At 44.0% G+C, this 20,944-nt stretch overlaps 1 protein-coding gene across 26 annotated transcripts in view; it reads right to left on the reverse strand.

The window, feature by feature from the left end:
• The window catches only part of MOK (MOK protein kinase), a 90,569-nt gene that overhangs the window by 37,766 nt on the left and 31,859 nt on the right, over positions 1-20,944 (reverse strand). For 12 of the 26 annotated variants that reach the window (XR_007064041.1, XR_007064040.1, XR_007064039.1 and 9 more), the window contains 2 exons: positions 13,462-13,551; positions 11,185-11,255 (listed from right to left, as the gene is read on the reverse strand). The exons of 6 other annotated variants lie outside the window; for them this stretch is intronic. Coding sequence is in view for 15 of the 20 variants with exons in the window: in XM_017021556.3 (XP_016877045.1) it covers positions 11,185-11,255; positions 13,462-13,551 (161 nt within the window). In the remaining 5 variants the exon portion in view is untranslated. The remainder of the gene's footprint in view (positions 1-11,184; positions 11,256-13,461; positions 13,552-20,944) is intronic. 8 more of the 26 variants (NR_148553.2, NR_148552.2, XM_047431647.1 and 5 more) reach the window with 1 other exon arrangement.

Below are 20,944 nucleotides of genomic sequence, written 5' to 3' on the forward strand. Positions count from 1 at the left end.
GGAGAATCGCTTGAACCCAGGAGGTGGAGGTTGCAGCAAGCCGAGATGGCACCATTACACTCCAGCCTGGGCAACAGGAGCAAAACTCCGTCCAAAAAAAAAAAATCTATATAATGGCATGATCTCATTTAAAATTACATAGCACATACATTTTTAATGGAAAATCCCTTTTTATTTTTCTTTTTGGCAGTTTATAGAGGCTTCTTTTACATCCTCAACTATGTATTAGTAGCACCATGTAATTTTTAGAATTGTCAAATCTGGGGAAACTGCTAAGTTTCCTTCATATCTGAGCTATAAGATTTCATATTTCAAGTTTTCTATGGAGTGAATGCTCTTTAATCTTTGAATTGACCATATTCAGAGTATTCCTAGAAGACATCCCAAATGAGATGGCCAGCAATAATGTAACTATTAATATATGGAAGAGACTGCAAAGCATATAAATGTATCCCAGCCAACCCTTAACAAGATTCCAGACATGTCCACGGCTATTTCACGGTTACGCTAAGAGGGGAAATATGACATAGGAGAGGTTAAAATAGAAGAGATGGCAGTCTTAACTTTGTGGTTGAAATATCTTATTTTTGCAAATTTAACAAAATCTATAAACATGGTGGAGACACCGCAAGGGCCTGTTTTGGAAGCCCCGGGCGAGTCAGCTCTATCAGCTGCATAGTGACTCTGCTGCTGCTCTAGCACACGTGGTTTTTCTGAGTTTTGAAACAGGTGAAGCAGGTTTGGGAAACTGCCAATTAAAAAATTAATAAACAATAAACGTTACTGAAGAATGACAGAATTGTTGATAATTTTTTTCCTTTTTAGTGGAAATGTAGTAATTGTACCTACTAATGGGACCCAGAGAGTGTTATTTTGATCCATACATACAATGTGTAAGGATGAAATCGGGGCAATTAGCACATGCGTCAGCTCTGTGAACATTCAGAGCGCATGTGCTATGGTTTCAGTGGGAACAGCACTGAGCAATCGTCACACAAGTAGCATGGTCTGACAGCCTCAGCCGGCCTCGGAGGCCTTCCAGGACGCTGTCCTTCAGCCTACACTGATTATGAAAATGTTAGGAGTCACTCGTCAACCCAGTGTTCCACTAGGCTTTCCTGTTTATGTGGAGATGTCCACTTTAAAGGGGGACAGATCACAGTTCAAGAAGCAGTTCAACTGCTTTCAGTCACAGTCCACATGTCTTCTTTCACAGGAGAGGCCGTTTAGCGTGGCTGGCACAGTCCCCTGCAGCTGCCCTGTACTCAGCACCTGGGCTGGCTGTGCCTTGGTGCCCGCAGCTTTCTACCGTGCTTGAAGACGTCATACCACATGCCCAGCATCACAGTTTACCCCTGTTCCAGAAGATGTCAATTTTACTTGATTTTAATTTTCAAAGTGTGTGTTTTAAGTTATTAAGTTTTAAATCTGCACAATGACCATGTTCACCTAACAGTTTGGAAATCCACTTCCTCCCTCCATGAGCACATATACCATTTGACACTTTTGGTCCTAAGTTTACAATTTCTTTTGAAAAATTAAAATTATTCTTTTTCTCTACTTAACAAGAATATATAAATAATAGAAAGTAATTTAAATTGTAAAATGTCTAGGTGCAATTAGCTTTTTCTTTTTTTTTTTGGGACGAAGTGTAGCACTGTCGCCCAGGCTGGAATGCATTGGTACGATCTCCGCCCACTGCAACCTCCACCTCCCAGGTTCAAGCAATTCTCCTGCCTCAGCCTCTCGAGTAGTTGGAATTACAGGCACCCGCCACCACTACACCCTGATAATTTTTTTGTATTTTCAGTAGAGACGGGGTTTCACTATGTTGACCAGGCTGGTCTTGAACTCCTGACCTCGAGATCCGCCCGCCTCGGCCTCCCGAAGTGCTGGGATTACAGGCTTGAGCCACTGCGCCTGGCCGCAATTAACTTTTTTGTGTCATACTATCATCTTTTTATTGTTTCACATGATTTATCATCAATTTTCCAGAATTAAAATCAAAAGAATCAAAAGTAAGACCTTTATCAGCTTTCCCAAGCTGATAATTCTGGAATCTTATTAAATTAATATCTATAACAGATAAAAAGAAAGCAACTTTCCATTTGCCTTCACACACGCAGCAGAATGAAGCTGCTGGAATTTCATCTCATCAGGTGCTCCTGGGTCCTGTGATCAAACCCAGTCTCACTGCTCCCGACTTACCCCGGCACTCAAGACCCCCTTCAACCAATTCCTCTCCACCAAAAGGGTTCTCAGACTCCCACGAGTGGGTTGCTAAGACACATACTGTCCCTCCCCATCTCCACCCACATGTCTGATTCAGAAGGTCTGCAATGGGGCCCCACAGTCGCCTAACTAGAGCCCCAGGTGCAGCTACTAGTCTTGGGTCCTCGCTTCGAGAACCATGCCCCACCACCCCCTTCTTGTTTATCGAATGCTCAGGTGAATTCCCTCATGGACTCTTCTCTGGTTGCTCCCAAAGCTCGCCTGCTTAGTACCTATATTCATGATGTTCCATTCCAGGAACGCCCTTCCCAGCCATGTCCACACATTTAAATCTTACTCGTATCATAAAATTGTCATTAGAGTCATCTGAACTTGAACTTGGGAAACGTGGAATCTTTTAGGAAAAGTCTAATCTATCCAATCTTCATAATCACCTAGAAGTCTTTTAAAAAGCTGATTAAAAAGCCTGTAATCCCAGCACTTTGGGAGGCTGAGGCAGGCGGATCACGAGGTCCGGAGATCGAGACCATCCTGGCTAACACGGTGAAGCCCCGTCTCTATAAAAATACAAAAAATTAGCCAGGCGTGGCGGCAGGCGCCTTCAATCCCAGCTACTTGGGAGGCTGAGGCAGGAGAATGGTGTGAACCTGGGAGGCGGAGCTTGCAGTGAGCTGAGATCGTGCCACTGTACTCCAGCCTGGGTGACACAGTGAGACTCTGTCTCAAAAAACAATAAAATAAAATTTAAAAAAAAAGCAGATTTCAAGGCCTGAACCTAGACCTAATGGAGCCACAAACGGGCATGCGGGCCAGGAATCTGTGCTTCTCAGATGCCTTCAGTCCCAGGTAAGAGTCCTCTTCAGGTGCCCACCCTTCCTTGCCTCCCTGGGTCTCCTCCTGGAAACTCCCTATTCACAGCCCTAGGGGTAGGGAGCCGTCCTGGTCCCGGGCCAGTAGTTGGGGGTGTTACTGCTGGCATGAGGTATCAGAGCAACAGTGTGGGCCCAGTAGTCTGAAGTGCTGGAGACCACACCCTTGCAAAGGAAAGCACTGCCTAGCCACTCTCCATAAGCTTCTCCAGAACAAACTTTCCGGGCCCAAGACTATCTGGTTCCCATCAGATTCTTGTTTTCAAACAGTTTGAAACAAGTAAAATAGAGTACAATTAACGAGTTACTCAGAAGTTTCTTATATGCCCCTTAGTGAATTCCAGCAGGCCCCAAAAGCATTTCCCTCATCTGCTCTAGCTATCCTGACCAAGGTAATTTTTACAAGTTAATTTTTACCAAATATTCTCATTAAGAAGGAATGTCATATATGATACTAATAATTTTAAAAACTTAAGTGAACACAGTGATAAACCAAGGCATTCACTGTGACTCAGCACTAACTGAAGGAATACAGCTGCCACTGTAGCCTGCAGAATGACGGCATCCCCAGCACACGCCCCTCCAGCGAGGGTGGAGAGAACTACGAACTAGCCATTCATTAAGGCAAATGAGTTATTATTATTTTTTTTTTTTGAGACAGGGTCTCACTCTGTTGCCCAGGCTGGAGTGCAGTGGTACAATCAGCTCATTGCAGCCTCGACCTCCTGGGCTCAAGCCATCCTCCCACCTCAGCCTCCTGAGTAGTTGGGTCTACAGGCGTGTGCCACCACACCCGGATGCTTTTTTTTTTAATTTTTTGGGCTGGGCACGGTGGCTTACACCTGTAATCCCAGCACTTTGGGAGGCTGAGGCAGGCGGATCACGAGGTCAGGAGATTGAGACCATCCTGGCTAACACGGTGAAACCCCGTCTCTACTAAAAATACAAAAAAAAATTAGCCAGGCTAATTTAGTGGTGGCGGGTGTCTGTAGTCCCAGCTACTCGGGAGGCTGAGGCAGGAGAATGGCGTGAACCCGGGAGGCGGAGCTTGCAGTGAGCTGAGATCGCCACTGCACTCCAGCCTGGGCAACAGAGCGAGACTCCGTCTCAAAAAAAAAAAATTGTTTTTTTGTACAGACAGAGTCTTAGGCTAGTCTCAAACTCCTGTGCTCAAATAATCCTCCCGCCTTGGCCTCCCAAAGTGTTGGGACTACACACGTGAGCCACTGCACCTGGCCCTATGAATTTAACTTGAAACAGTTAAAAAAAAAAAAAAAAGAGCAGAATCAGATACAATTTTGTAAAAGAGTAGCTGCCTCTATAGTCAGAGTATGAGGGAAACTAAACCTCCTTTACGGTTTTTCCTTCATAAATTCCAAGACAGGCTTTCCTACTGCAGATGGCATGAGCCCAGAGCCATAAGCACACGCGCCCAAATACACAAACTAGGATCGCTGGCGGGTAGCCATGCTCTATTCACCCCAATTACTAACTCACGCCAAAGAATTCAGAGACATTCATCCAGAGACAGTGGCGGGCAAAGGGCCTTCGCCATCCCTTCCCCAGGCTCCCACACCACTCTTGCCTTCATGGCACACCCGCAGATTGGCTTGCTCAGGTCCTATCCCAAACCCCCATCTAGCATGCCAGGCCTGAACGTCCAAATGACATTCTTCATGCTGCCTTGCAGCTGAGTGTTCCAGATGTGACTTAGGCTCTGCCTAAATGGGAACACTTGGGAAAGATGCTTCTGGCCCAGGTATGGGGGCAGATGAGAGGAGGGAAGGCATCTATTCTGACGGCATGGATCACGGCTGCCTCCTGATCCTGGCAGAAGAGGCATGATTCCAGGCCTGGTAGCTGCAGCAGCTTTATTCTGCAGAGCGTTGTCAGCGGCAGGGCCAGCAGCCTGATCATGGAGAGCAGAGTTGTGAGAAGCAACTTCCTATAGGCCAAGCCCAGAGTCTGCTTCTTCAGTCCTCCCAACAATTCTGGCAATCTATCCATATCACAGAGTAACCCCTCTTGAGTTAATCAGAGAATAGGGGAGGCTGTTATTTGCAACTAAAAGGGAGAACCAACACATCCACCTACAGCACATTTATTCTTTAAACAGCAACTGGAGAATTCCTTCTAAAAAGATGCTACTCAAAGCACAGTCCATGAGCTGATGATGGTTCAGGGACTGTTACTGGTCTAAGAGGAGATGACATAAATTAAGAATAACTGTTTAGGGCTGGGCGCAGTGGCTCACGCCTGTAATCCCAGCACTTTGGGAGGCTGAGGTGGGCGGATCACGAGGTCAAGAGATCGAGACCATCCTGGCCAACATGGTGAAACCCCGTCTCTACTAAAAATACAAAAATTAGCAGGGCGTGGTGGCACGCACCTGTAGTCCCAGCTACTTGGGAGCCTGAGGCAGGAGAATTGCTTGAATCCGGGAGGCAGAGGTCGCAGTGAGCAGAGATCACGCCACTGCACTCCAGCCTGCCAACAGAGTGAGACTCTGTCTCAAAAAAAAAAAAAAAAGAATACCTGTTTAGAACCACTTATAGCAATTTGACATGCTGTGACATCTAAGCACGTGATCACTTTTCTGGTAATTCATTTTTACTATATTTTACAAAAATTCTGGTCTGCAATATATTAGAAATAAAACAACTGGTCTTCTGTGATCGTTTTGGAAACACTGGTCTAAACACCAATTGAAAACCACCTCTCCCTTGCTTTAAAGCCCAATAATGGCTTCCCATTGAACTTAGAGTAACGAAAATTCTTACCCTCGCCCTACCAGCCTCATCGATGCCTGCCTACTCCGTTTCCTGCAACTCTCCTTCATGTCCTCCAGCCACATGGGCCTCTTCCCTCACGGTGGCCTCAGGGCCTTTGCACTGGCTGTCCCTCTGCCTGAAGTACTCTATCCTCATCACTCTCTAACACATTGGCCTGTTTTATTCACTGACAGCACTTATCCCTATCTGGAATTCTTGATCATTTTGACTGATATTCTTGATAATTTCATTTGTTTCCTGTCTCTCCTCATCAAGTGTGAGCTCCACATGGGTGGGAACTGTGTCTGCTGTGTTCCCCACCATGTCCCTGCCTCTGGAATAGCCCATGGCATGTCACTGCAAATGGGACATCCTCTCCCGCACCTGTCCAATTCTACCACTCCTCCAGGAAAGCCTTATTTTCCCAGCCCACACCATCTCTGCCTCATCTGACACCTGTTCAACAAAAAGAAATCTACCCCAGCAATTCCTTTTCTCTTATGATATCACTTTCATATAGTTTATGTGGACACTACACTATATACTCTTTCAGGCTGGGCGCGGTGGCTCACGCCTATAATCCCAGCACTTTGGGAGGCTGAGGCGGGCAGATCACGAGGTCAGGAGTTTGAGACAGCCTGGCCAACATAGTGAAACCCCGTCTCTACTAAAAGGACAAAAAATTAGCCGGACGTGGTGGTGGGCACCTGTAATCCCAGCTACTCGGGAGGCTAAGGCAGGAGAATCGCTTGAACCCAGGAGACGGAGGATGCAGTGAGCTGAGATCGTGCCATTGCACTCCAGCCTGGGCAACAGAGTGAGACTCCATCTCAAGAAAAAAAAAAAAAAAGACTATATACTCTTTCAATATAAAAAACATGCATCTGACATGCTGCTTCTTTATCTTCCCAGTTCTTGCCAGACCTTGCACACTGCTGTAAAGTAGACAATTCAATAATGGCTATGTGATCGTTCCCTTATTTCATTATTATCTTATTCTTTAGTCTTTAATAGTGCTCCTCAATATTCTAATAACCTGAGAGCAGCAATTTAAGTCACAAAAATTGCCATTCTGGTATCTAAAGCCTTAGTGATTGATTCAGTTTTCACTAAAGAAGCATCATCATCAATAACCGTAAATAATTAGGTGCCTCTGTTCATTTAAGGCACTGAGCTGGGCCCAGAAATAGAGACCCAGGGCAGCAACAGAGCTTAATGCTTAGGATTTCAGAGTCAGGCTTGAGTTCAAATCCCAGTTCTGCCATTTATTAACAGCTTAATTTTGGATTATTACTTAATCCTTCAAGACTCAATTTCCTCATCTGTAAAATGGGAATAATAAATAGTGCCAACCACACAGGGTTGTCATGAGGCGGTATGGGTGGTGGTTAAGAACATGCACTCTAGGATCAGGTTATCTAGGTTCAGCCCCAGTTCTACCACTTACTAGGTATATAACCTTGGACAAGCAACTTATCTCCCCATGCCTCAATGTCCTCATGTTTCAAATGAGGATAATAACAGTATCTGGGCCAGGTACAGTGGCTCACGCTTGTAATCCCAGCACTTTGAGAGGCCAAGGCGGGCAGATCACGAGGTCAAGAGATCGAGACCATCCTGGCCAACATGGTGAAACCTGTCTCTACTAAAAATACAAAACTTAGCCAGGCGCGGTGGCTCACGCCTGTAATCCCAGCACTTTGGGAGGCCAAGGTGGGCGGATCACCTGAGGTCGGGAGTTCAAGACCAGCCTGACCAACATGGAAAAACCCCATCTCTACTAAAAATACAAAATTAGCTGGGGTGGTGGCGCATGCCTGTAATCCCAGCTACTTGGGAGGCTAAGGCAGGAGAATCGCTTGAACCCGGGAGGCGGAGGTTGTGGTGAGCCGAGATCATGCCATTGCACTCCAGCCTGGGCAAAAAGAGCAAAACTCCATCTCAAAAAAAAAAAAAAAAAAACTTAGCTGGGCATGGTGGCGTGCTCCTGTAGTCCCACCTACTTGGGAGGCTGAGGCAGGAGAACTGCTTGAACCCAGGAGGCGGAAGTTGCAGTGAGCAGAAATCACACCACTGCACTCCAGCCTGGCGACAGAGTGAGACTCCATCTTAAAAAAATAAAAAATAACCGTATCTGCCTGACAGGGTTGTTGGAAGGTTAAAATGAGTTAATTCCTATAAAGTATTAAGAACAGTGCCTGGCCATATGGGTACCATTCATGAACTGTTAGCTATTATCATTATCATTATATTTCATCAATTCTAGGACAGGCTTTTTTTTCAAATTTTACCAACTCTAAAATCAGGATGCATATTTCAATATTTACTACCCTACAAGCACTGTTGGCCATTCTCCTTACATTTTAACATCTCTGAACCTAGGATGCTCCATGTTGCTCACAGCATCTCAGAGTTGGTGCACTGAACACACTGCCTGGCCTATGGAAGACAATATTTATATAATGAATGGAGGTCTACTGCGAGGTCTGTTTTCTACAATCGCTGTAGACAGATATTGAAAGAAATAGATTCAATTTCTTCAATTATACAATTCCTCTACTACTGAAAATAAATATAAATGTATCCTAAAAATACATATATTCTAAGGCTGGGCGCAGTGGCTCACTCCTATAATCCCAGCACTTTGGGAGGCCGAGAAAGGCGGATCACGAGGTCAAGGAGATTGAGACCATCCTGGCTAACAAGGTGAAACCCCGTCTCTACTAAAAATACAAAACAATTGGCTGGGCGCGGTGGCTCATGCCTGTAATCCTAGCACTTTGGGAGGCCGAGACAGGCAGATCACGACGTCAAGAGATCAAGGCCATCCTGGCCAACATGGTGAAACCCTGTCAGTACTAAAAATACAAAAAAATAGCTGGGCGTGGTGGCATGCACCTGCAGTCCCAGCTACTCAGGAGGCACAAGCAGGAGAATCGCTTGCACCTGGGAGGCAGAGGTTGCAGTGAGCTGATTGCACCATTGCACTCCAGCCTGGCAACAGAGCGAGACTCTGCCTACAAAAAAAAAAAAAAATTAGCCAAGTGTGGTAGCACATGCCTGTAGTCCCAGCTACTTGGGAGGCTGAGGCAGTAGAATCTCTTGAACCTGGGAGGCAGAGGTTGCAGTGAGCTGAGATCGCGCCACGTCTCAAAAAAAAAAAAAAAAAAAAAAAAAAAAAAAAAATATATATATATATATATATATATATATATATATATATATTCTAAACAAAGCTTTCTCAAGCGTCTAAACACACAGCAACTTGCCAAAAATTCTCCCTTCTTGTTGACTTTTATTTTTTTTTTATTTTCTGTTGAGATGGAGTCTCACTGCGATGTCCAGGCTGGAGTGCAGTGGCACGATCTCAGCTCACTGCAACTTCTGCCTCCCAGGTTCAAGCGATTCTCCTGCCTCAGCCTCCCAAGTAGTTTGGACTACAGACACATGCCACCACGCCCGGCTAATTTGTTTTGTATTTTTAGCAGAGACAAGGTTTTGCCATATTGGCCAGGTTGGTCTTGAACTCCTGACCTCAAGTGATCCACCTGCCTCAGCCTCCCAAAGTGCTGGGATTACAGGCATAAGCCACCACGCCCGGCCTTTTTTATTTTTTATTATTTTTTTTGAGACGGAGTCTCGCTCTGTCACCCAGGCTGGAGTGCAGTGGCATGATCTTGGCTCGCTGCAAGCTCCACCTCCTGTTACACCATTCTCCTGCCTCAGCCTCCCGAGTAGCTGGGACTACAGGCGCCCGCCACCACGCCCGGCTAATTTTTTTGTATTTTTAATAGAGACGAGGTTTCACTGTGTTAGCCAGGATGGTCTCAATCTCCTGACCTCGTGATCCGCCTGCCTCAGCCTCCCAAAGTGCTGAGATTACAGGCGTGAGCCACCGCGCCCAGCCCCTGGCCTTTATTTTTATTTTTTGAGACAGAGTCTCGCTCTGTCGCCCAGGCTGGAGTGCAGTGGAACAATCTCAGCTCACTGCAACCCCCGCCTCCTAGGTTCAATCGATTTTCCTGCCTCAGCTTCCTGAGTAGGTGGGACTACAGGCATACACCACCATGCCCGGCTAATTTTTTTGTGTGTATTTTTTAGTAGAGACAGGGTTTCACCTTGTTAGTCAGGCTGGTCTTGAACTCCTGACCTCAACTGATCCACCCGCACTGGCGTCCCTCCTAAAGTGCTAGGATTATAGGCATGAGCCACTGCACCCAGCTTTATATACATCAACTTTTATGGATGTAGAAAAACTTGGCTACTTATGCTATTTGTTTTGTTAGTAATTTACTATCACACACATATTTTAAGTCACATATAAAATAAATATTGATATAATGCTTTTTCCACTATCCAACTTCATAAAAACAATTTTATTTGAACTCTTCATATATATCTTCAACATCAGTGTCTTCTTCCATCACAAAAATAGTTTATCAATCTAAAAATTTTCCATAGCACATCATCTTCAGTTTGGCTCAAATTGTAAGATAATACACCATCTAAATCATCTATGATGCTGTCACTAAAATTCTTTTCCAAGTCATAAGTAGTCACTCATGTGACAGTAGGACAGTTGTTTTTTATCTGTCCTCTAGGTATAATGTGATTTGTAAAATGTAACACTTGCTATGTTGCTTTCTTAGTGAGATATACAAGGTTCATTTGTTCTGACATCTAACACAACCATTAGTCAGACCCCCAGGAACAATTGGCTCAGTGTGGGCCAGCCTCTCCTTTTCTCCTGTTCCCCTCAGGCAACCTCTATAAGTATCTCAAACCAGCCCTGACTGAGGTCACCTCAGGCAAACATGCTCTCTTAAACAGTGCTTTATTGTTCAGAAAAAAGGAAATGAACGAGCATCCTGGAAAATGGTAGGAGCTTCCCTCACATGCAGGGCAGTATTTTGGAGGGAAAGCTCTGCCTTAAGAGGCATGGAACAGAATGTCGAGCAACAGCAGATCTGGGGAGCAGAGAGGCCCCTGAGCCAGCGGGCCTGCACACACATGCCCACGGCGGGGCTGGCTGCAGGCGCTCTGCAGCAGAGCTGCCCCTGCTGCCTCCCGCCACTCTCCCCCAGATCACATGGGCACCCAGAGGGCCTGGGGCTTCCTTTCTTGTTTGCAGCCATGTTCTGAGTAGATGAGCAGTCAGAAAAATGCCTCCTGGTGAATGAAGTGACCCTGTACTGTGTATTATATATAACTACAGCACTATGGTGACTAATGATGTTGAGAATAACTAAGCATATATGAATTACAAGCCTTAAAAGAGGATCTTAGGTTAGCTTTCAAATTATTCTACGTACCTCGTATTAGCTCATAAATATTCATGTCCATAAGTTCACATATTAGTGCAAGAGAACCAGATTTTCTGTCACTGAAGAAGAAAGCAAGTTTTTAAAATAAATTTTCTGGCCTTAATCAGAAAATATAATCCAATATTTAATTCATTTGTAAACATTTCTAGTAAACATTAGGTACTCCCACATCAAATACTACAGTGTAATTGCTGAAACAGTAAAGGTTTTGATTTTAAATCAGTATTTCAGATAAAATTAACTAAAAATACTAGCAAAACCCAACTTTGAACAAAATTCTAGAAGTTGAAAACAGATATGTCTTGAAAATACATAATTAATTATCAGCAGAAAGAAGAAAAAGGTTGGGGAGTTGGGTAAGCAAAACAATAAAAGAGGCCAGGCGTGGTGGCTCACGCCTGTAATCCCAACACTTTGGGAGCCCGAGGTGGTCGATCACTTCAGGTTAGGAGTTTGAGACCAGCCTGGCCAACATGGTGAAACCCCATCTCTACTAAAAATACAAAAGCTGGGTGTGGTGGCGTGTGCCTGTAGTCCCAGCTGCTCGGGAGGCTGAAGGAGGAGAATAGCTTAAACCCGGGAGGCGGAGGTTGCAGTGAGCCGAGATCGTACCACTGTACTCCAGCCTGGGCAACAGAGTGAGACCCTGTCTCAAAAAAAAAAAAAAAAAAAAGAAAGAAAGAAAGAAAATTAATTCGTGCTCCATGACTGCAAATTTAATTTTAATTTAGCTAAATTCCTTCCATGTAATTGGGATAAATCACAATGGGAGAGTAAAAACCAAAAACCAGTCAGGGGAAAAAGAGAAAAACGAGTCACATCACAAGTGTGTGATATCAACGCTGACACAGAATAGGGACAGAGACTGCTGGCTGAGCCACCAACTTCTGAGTTCAAGCAGGCCCTTAAAGGGTTCCCAGAGTCCTGAGCAAGAGCCTGTATCATCCCAGACCCTACTCTGGGTGCCTCCAATCTGGCTGGAAGAGGTCTCGGTTGTTCCGAGGTCCATGTGAGATTCTGGACAGAGTACTTTGTAAAGTGCGTGGGAAGTGCACGACGTGCATGCAGTGTTGAGACTATTACATACAAACTGCACTCTCTGGACCTGGCCCAAATTGACTTCTAAGAACGCTACAGGACAGGAACCCACACAGTTATAACAAGACATTTCATTTTGAGTTTAAAACTGTTTCATTCTCTGATTAAAATCTACCAGACTTTAACTGGCAGTGAAGTTTAACTGGAGTTCCTTGGCCGATCTTACAGGCCAGGCTCCCTCCGGAGCCACAGCGAAGCTTCTACACTGAGGTGCACCCTCTCAGAGTGTCAGTGCCATTCTAGCCCACAGCAAAGAAGGTCCCAAAACCCTGTAGCCTGACTCCCTGGTTCAGTGAGGTCTGTAAGCACAGCACAGAGCTGTCAGGAAGAAGGCTTCCCAGGCTCAGGCAGGCACCGAGGGACAAGCTGTGCTCTGCCTTTTTGAATGATAGATAAGCCTTATGGAAACTATTCTATAATTAGAACAGAAATGAAAAATCCCCAGAAATGTTATCAATTACAGTAAGAAAGACTACAGGAGACTGTTCAGAAATGGCAACTGGCAGGGACAGAATGAGAATGTACAATCCCTGAAATAACACAAACAGTGCTTTCCCAGTAGGTCAAAATTCACACTCAAGACCTTAGCAGCCTAACTGAGCTCCAGGAGATGAACTGTTTGCATGACGGATGCTTTTATGATGTGGAGTCACCTAAATGAAGGCATTTCCACATTAATTAAGAATCAGATGCTGGCCGGGCACAGTGGCTCATGCCTGTAATCCCAGCATTTTGGGAGACCAAGGTGGGTGGATAACCTGAGGTCAGGAGTTTGAAACCAACCTGGCCAACATGGTGAAACCCCATCTCTACTAAAAATACAAAAATTAGCTGGGCGTGGTTGTGGGTGCCTGTGATCCCAGCTACTCGGGAGGCTGAGGCAGGAGATGGCTTGAACCAGGGAGGCGGAGTTTGTTGTGAGCCAAGATCACGCCGCTGCACTCCAGCCTGCATGACAGAGAGAGAGACTCCTTCTCAAAAAATAATAATAAAAAAAAGAATCAGATGCACATTTTTCCAAATAAAAATGTGATGTAAGATGAAGTAAAAATGGTTACTCTCTGAGCTACAAAGTAAATATTCAAAATGTCTACCATGGTTTTCTTTCTTAAAAAGAGATTATTTTCATCAAATTTAGATAACTTTTCAAGCTCCAAATATACTTACAAAACCACTTCATGCAACATAAGAATGTTTGGGTGCGGATTCAGGCGCCTCAGTGCTTGGATCTCTCGTAGGTTGTTGACTTGCTCAATACTATCGTGTAGGTAAAAATGGATAGCTCATTCACAGTTTAGGTCAACTTCAAAATTAGAGTTACTTATTATCCAGGATCACAATTTTAAAACTCACAAATATTTCAAGCAAGTTAATCAGGTTTTATTTCTCCCATTAGAAACTGAAGTTAAGCATACCTCATTGCTGCATTAAAAAATCAAGGTTCTTATAGCTAGAACATACGTTAAAATTTTTCCCATCTAAGATCCTGAAAGAATACTTGGTAGTTTATTTTACATATTAACAAACATAAAAGTAGACATTAAAACTTATGATTAATTAATAAGATTAATAATTAAGATTTAGTCTTCAGTTTATAGATACACTATCTGAAAATGAGCATTTCAAAGTTCCAAGAAAAGACCCACCCCTCCTTTTTTTTTTTGTTTTTGAGACAAAGCCTCACTGTCATCCAGGCTGGAGTGCAATGGTGCAATCATGTCTCACTGAAGCCTCAACCTTCCAGGCTCAGGTGATCCTCCCACCTTAGCCTCCTGAGTAGCTGGGACCACAGGTGCATCCCACTATGCCCTCTCAAACTCCCAGGCTCAAATGATCGGCCCGCCTCAGCCACCCAAAGTACTGTGATTACAAGCGTGAGCCACTGTGCCCGGCCTCTTTCTTATCTTTAATGATGCTATACTCTTTTTGATTTTTTGTTTTTTTGAAACGGAGTTTCTCTCTTGTTGCCCAGGCTGGAGTGCAATGGTGTGATCTTGGCTCACTGCAACCTCTGCCTCCCGGGTTCAAGCGATTCTCCTGCCTCAGCCTCCCAAGTAGGTGGGATTATAGGCACCCGCCACCATGCCTGGCTAATTTTTTTATTTTTAGTAGAGATGGAGTTCACCATGTTGGCCAGGCTGGTCTCAAACTCCTGACCTCAGGTGATCCACCCACCTTGGCCTCCCAAAGTGCGGGCATTACAGGTGTGAGCTACCACGCCCGGCCCTCTTTTCCATTTCATTCACTTGGTGACAAGCATTCTCTTGGCAGGTGTGCCTTATTGCAGGCTCTTCTTTATGAAGACTGCTCTGCCAATACAAATCATGCCAAAACAGTGCAATCAGGCCCAAGGCCTGAGGCTAGCTATCACTGCCCTCTAGACAGACCTCTTTTGAGAATGCCACTTCACCACGGTAGGCCCATGGGGTCACACCTAATTGAATAATTCAATTCACCAGAAATTTTCATCTCAGGGGCTCCAAAAGGAACTAATTGTGGGACTATTTTTTCAACTGGCAAATTCTGTTCTATAAACTTTTAACATATATTGGAAAGTTCAACATTTGTTTGGTTATTTGAAGAGTACCCAGTAGTAGTATAGGTATAGTTTAAAATCAATATGGCTGAGGCCAGGCGTGGTCGCTCATGCCTGTAATCCCAGCACTTTGGGAGGCCAAGGCAGGTGGATCACCTGAGGTCAGGAGTTCCAGACCAGCCTGGCCAACATGGTGAAACCCCGTCTCTACTAAAAATACAAAAATCAGCCGGGCGCAGTGGCACGTGCCTGTAATCCCAGCCACTTGGGAGGCAGAGGCAGGAGAATCGCTTGAACCCAGGAGGTGGAGGCTGCAGTAAGCCAAGATTGTGCCATTGCACTCCAGCCTGGGCAACAGAGTGAGACTCCATCTCAAAAAATAAATAAATAAATATGTCTGAATATTTTAAGTCACTCTCATGTTAGCCAACAAATAGAAGCCTGATATTTAAGAAGAGCCTGAAAACAGAATAGCCTGAAGAGCCTAAGAATATTTTTGGACTAAAAGTTCTAGCCCCCATTTTCATTTGTATCCTGTATTTCCTCCCTCACATCCAAGTTGGTATTGAAAGTGTTAGCAACTCGCACCCCAGGTCCACAACCAATCAGAAAAGACACAGCCCACCATGCTGGAGCTGGGTCCTCAAAGTGGCCAGAACTAGGGAGTGCTGAACAAGGGGGCTAGGCGAGACTCAGAAGGGTCAGGACAGCAGCTATTTACCAATGAATACAAATCATTCAATATTCTACAATGCACAGAACAGAAAAAAAAAAAAAATTCCAGGCCAAAATGCCAACAGTGTTGAGATAGAGAAATCCTGCTTCAGGTGGAAAGAGCAAGAAGCTAACAAGCTAGCAGTAGTTCCAATTTTTGAACACCCGATCTGAAAAACTTAGTTTTTAGAACCGGGCAGCCAAACAGCTATGCTATTTACACAAATATCCATTCTTCTCCTCTGTAATAGGAAAACCAGTTATCACACCCCAAAACATATTTTGCTTATTGTAGATAGGATTCTTTCATGTCTCCACAGGCATTCACTGAGAAATAATGAGCTAAGACAAATATTTAGAAAGGCACATTTTCCTGGATATTGCTAGATATCAGGATCTAGCAACTGTTCAAATAACAGTGCTTAATAAAATTCAAATCAACTCTGTCCCCTCTTTTAAAATCATGAAAAAAAAAAAATCTAAAAAAACCTGGAAGTAAACTACTTTTCTTTGCCTTGGAGTTGCGTTGAATTTTGTTGTCAGGTGACATTCAGTTTGTTTTTGTTTATTGTTCTGTTGGAAACAAAATACCACAGAACTGAATGTAAGAGGAATGTAGGCAGCCTTTGCTCCGAAAAGAACCAGATGACATTTACCATAAGTGGAATCTACAAATGGAACAAATTATGATCACCAGGACTCAGACTTTTAAAAAAAATGTAAAGATCGGCTGGGCACGGTGGCTCATGCCTGTAATCCCAGCACTTTGGGAGGCCGAGGCGGGTGGATCATGAGGTCAGGAGATCGAGACCATCCTGGCTAACACAGTGAAACCCCGTCTCTACTAAAAAATACAAAAAATTAGCCGGGATGGTGGCGGGTGCCTGTAGTCCCAGCTACTCTGGAGGCTGAGGCAGGAGAATGGCGTAAACCTGGGAGGTGGAGCTTGCAGTAAGCCGAAATCACGCCACTGCACTCCAGCCTGGGCGACAGTGTGAGACTCCGTCTCAAAAAAAAAAAAAAATTATTTAAAGATCAACTATGAAATTTCAACATTTCATTTTATTGGATGAATTTTATGGAAAATAAGTTTATCTAACCAATACAATCTATATGAAGAAAGTCCTCAAAGTAAAGGGGAGGAAGAAATGGTTATATTAATATTAGACAAAATAGACTGCAAAATAAGGATTACTACTACTTATGATTTCATGATGATAAAAAAAGAGTCAATACATTAGGAAGCAATGACAATTGTAAATGTGTATGTGTCAAATAAGAGAATTTTTTTTTTTTTTTGAGACAAAATCTTGCTCTGTCATTCAGGCTGGAGTGCAGTGGCACGATCTAGGCTCACTGCAACCTCCACCTCCCAGGTGCAAGCTATTGTCCTGCCTCAGCCTCCTGAGTAGCTGGGATTACAGGTGCCCACCACTATCCCAGGCTATTTTTGTATTTTTAGTAGAGATGAGGTTTCATCACAGTGGCCAGGCTGGTCTCGACCCCCAACCTGAGGTGATCCACCCGCCTTGGCCTCCCAAAGTGATGAGCCACCACAACCAGCTTTTTTTTTTTTTTTTTTTGTGAGACGGAGTCTTGCTCTGTTGACCAGGCTAGAGTGCAGTGGAGTGATCTTGGCTCACTGCAATCTCCATCTCCTGGGTTCAAGTGATTCTCCTGCCTCAGCCTCCCAAGTAGCTGGGATTATAGGCACCTGCCACCATGCCTGGCTGATTCTTATATTTTCAGTAGAGACAAGGTTTCACCATGTTGGCCAGGCTGGTTTCAAACTCCTGATCTCAAGTGATCCACCTGCCTCAGCCTCCCAAAGTACTGGGATTACAGGCGTGAGCCACTGTGCCTGGCCTAAATGAGAAAATTTTAATATACATAAAGGAAAAGTTGACAATACTAAAGAAAGAGATGAAGATTTTAACACCTTACTCCCATAATTGATTGAACAATCTTTCAAAAAAATCAGTAAAGATACAGAAGATCTTAACAGCATTATTAACTACCTGTCCTAATTGACATTTACAGAACAGTATATTCAACAACTGTATATAAAATATTCTTTTCAAGTATATATGAAACATTCATCCATATAGATAATGTGCTGGACCATAAGGTAAGTCTCAATACATTTCAAGACTGAAAACTTTACACAACATGTTCTCAGACCACAATGGATTAAATTAGAAATCAGTACAGTAAGTTATCTAGAAAAGTCTCAAATATTTGGAAATTAAACAGTAAAGAAGAAATCACAAGGGAAATTAGAAAACATTTCAAACCAAATAAAGCACAACATATAGAAATTTATGAGATGCAGCTAAAACAGGATTTAGAAAGATACTTATGTGTAAATACTAAAGGAAGAAAGGGTTAAAATCAATTATCTAAATGTCCCCCTTGGCCGGGTACAGGGGCTCACGCCTGTAATCCCAGCACTTTGGGAGGCCAAGGTGGGTGGATCACGAGGTCAGGAGTTCGAGACCAGCCTGGCCAACACAGTGAAACTCTGTCTCCACTAAAAATACAAAAATTAGCCAAGCGTGGTGGCAGGGTGCCTGTAATTCCAGCTCCTCAGGAGGCTAAGGCAGGAGAATCAGTTGGACCTGGGAGGCAGAGGTTGCAGTGAGGCGAGATTGTGCCATTGCACTCCAGCCTGGGCAAGAGCAAGACTCCATCTCAAAAAAAAAAAATTAAATAATAATAATGAGAGTATTACAAATAACTGTATGCCAATAAATATGACAATTTAGGGTAAACAAATTCCTCAAAAAACACAGTTACCAAATCTGACACAAAATAAAACTGGAAATTGAAACAGCCCTATTTAATAAAATAGCCCTATTTTATTCTTATTAGTTGTTATCAAAAACCTCCCAACAGATGATGAAAGTGTTCTAAAACGGAATTGTGGTGACAGTTGCACAGCCGTATAAATGTCCTGAAACTCACTTACAATAGCTGAATTTTATGAAAGGAAAATTATACTTCAGGCTGGGCACAGTGGCTCACGCCTATAATCCCAACACTTTGGGAGGCCGAGACGGGTGGATAACCTGAGGTCAGGAGTTTGAGACCAGCCTGGCCAACATGATGAAACCCCATCTCTACTAAAAATACAAAAATTAATGGTGGCAGGTGCCTGCAATCCCCACTACTCAGGAGGCTGAGGCAGGAGAATTGCTTGAACTCAGGAGGCAGAGGTTGCAGCTAGCCAAGACTGCACCACTGCATTCCAGCCTGGATGACAGAGCGAGACTCCATCTCAAAAGAAACAAAAGGAAATCATCCTTCAATAAAGCTTTTAAAAAATCATATGGAAATCCTTCCAAATTATTTGGCATAGTTCTGGTTTTTTTCTTTAATATTCCTTGATACAGATGTGCCTTGAGGTCATTCCTTGTTCCACCACTTCGTCGTGATCCCATCTTTTTATCACTACGAATGATGTTATAATAAACATCATTGTGGGAGGGACCTTCCCCACAAGGAAAACTCCTAGACCAGACAATTTCACTGGTGAATTATTTCAAACATTTAAAAAAGAAATACTCTTACACAAACTTTTTCAGCAAAAAATGGAGGAATGAACACTTCCCAACTTGTTCTGTTAGACCTGAAAACCTTTATACCAAAACCTAACAAAAACTTTTTTTTTTAAGACAGATTCTCGCTCTGTTGCCCAGGCTGGAGTGCACGAGCGCAACCTCGGCTCACTGCAAACTCTGCCTCCAGGGTTCAAGCCATACTTGTGCCTCAGCCTCCTGAGTAACTGGGATTACAGGCATGCACTACCACGCCCACCTAATTTTTGTAGTTTTGGTAGAAACAGAGTTTTGCCATGTTGGCCAGGCTAATCTCAAACTCCTGGCCTCAAGTGATCCACCCACCTCAGCCTCTCAAAGTGCTGGGAATACAGGTGTGAGCCACTGCACCCAGCCGCAAAACCTAATAAAGACTTTTTTCTTTTTCTTTTTTTGAGACAGGGTCTCACTCTGTGGCCCAGGCTGGAGTGCAGTAGTGTAATCACTGCTTACTGCAGCCTTGACCTCCTGATCTTAAGCCATCCTCCTACCTCAGCCTCCCAAGTGGCTGGGACCACAGGTGCCTGCCACCATGCCCAGCTGTTTTTTATTTGTAGAAACAAGGTCTCATCTTGTCCAGGCTGGCCTCAAACTCCTGGGCTTAAGCCATCCTCCCACCTCAGCCTCCCAATGTGCTGGGATTAAAGGTATGAGACGCCACGCCTAACTCCCTAACAAAGACTTTTATATAATAAGAAAAGTATAGGCCAAGCATGGTAGCTCACGCCTGTAATCCTAGTGCTTTGGGAGGCCAAGTCTGGCGAATTGCCTGAGGTCAGGAGTTCAAGACAGCCTGGCCAACATGGCAAAACCCCATCTCTACTAAAAATACAAAAATTAGCCAGGCATGGTGGCACGCGCCTGTAATCCCAGCTACTTGGGAGCCTGAAGCAGAATTGCTTGAGGCGGAGGTTGCAGTGAGCCGAGATCACGCCACCACACTCCAGCCTGTGCAACACAGCAAGACTCCATCACGAAAAAAAAAAAAGTATCCCTTATGAGTACAAATACAAAAATACTTGACAAAATACTATCAAATCCAGGAACATGTAAAACTGATCATATGTTATGACTAAGTGGGGAATCCCAGCTATACTGGGAATGCAAGGTTGAGTTATTATTCAAAAATGAATGAATGTTATCCACCACAATACAAGAAAAAGGAAAAAATAATAATACCAAAAAGTCATTTGACAGAATTCGATACCAATTCAGGACAAAAATTCTCAGCAAGCTATTCATGAAAGGGAACTCTGTCAATTTGATAAAAGACATATACAGCAAACATCATGCTTCTAATGTTGAAATGCTGAACACTTCCCCGCTACTTGCATTCAATATTGTACTGGAAATCTGAACTAATGGGAAAGGCTAGAAAAAAAGTCATGGGCCGGGCACAGTGGCTCACGCCTGTAATCCCAGCACTCTGGGAGGCCAAGGTGGGCAGATCACAAAGTCAGGAGTTCGAGACCAGCCTGGCCAATACGGTTAAACCCTGTCTCTACTTAAAATACAAAAATTCGCCAGGCGTGGTGGCGGGTGCCTGTAGTCCCAGCTACTTGGGAGGCTGAGGCAGGAGAATCACTTGAACCCGGGAGGTGGAGGTTGCAGTGAGCTGAGATCGCGCCACTGCACTCCAGCATGGGCAACAGAGCAAAACTCCGTCTCAAAAAAAAAAGTCATCAACATTGGGAAAGAAGAGTAAAACTGTCTCTATTTGCAGGTGACATATTTCTTTAAGTAAAAAATCCTAAGAAAGCAACCAAAACATACTAGAACAAAAAAAAAAAAAAAATAAGTGAAT

The sequence above is a fragment of the Homo sapiens genome, chromosome 14 (assembly GCF_000001405.40).
Source record: "Homo sapiens chromosome 14, GRCh38.p14 Primary Assembly".
NCBI classification, from domain to species: domain Eukaryota; kingdom Metazoa; phylum Chordata; class Mammalia; order Primates; family Hominidae; genus Homo; species Homo sapiens.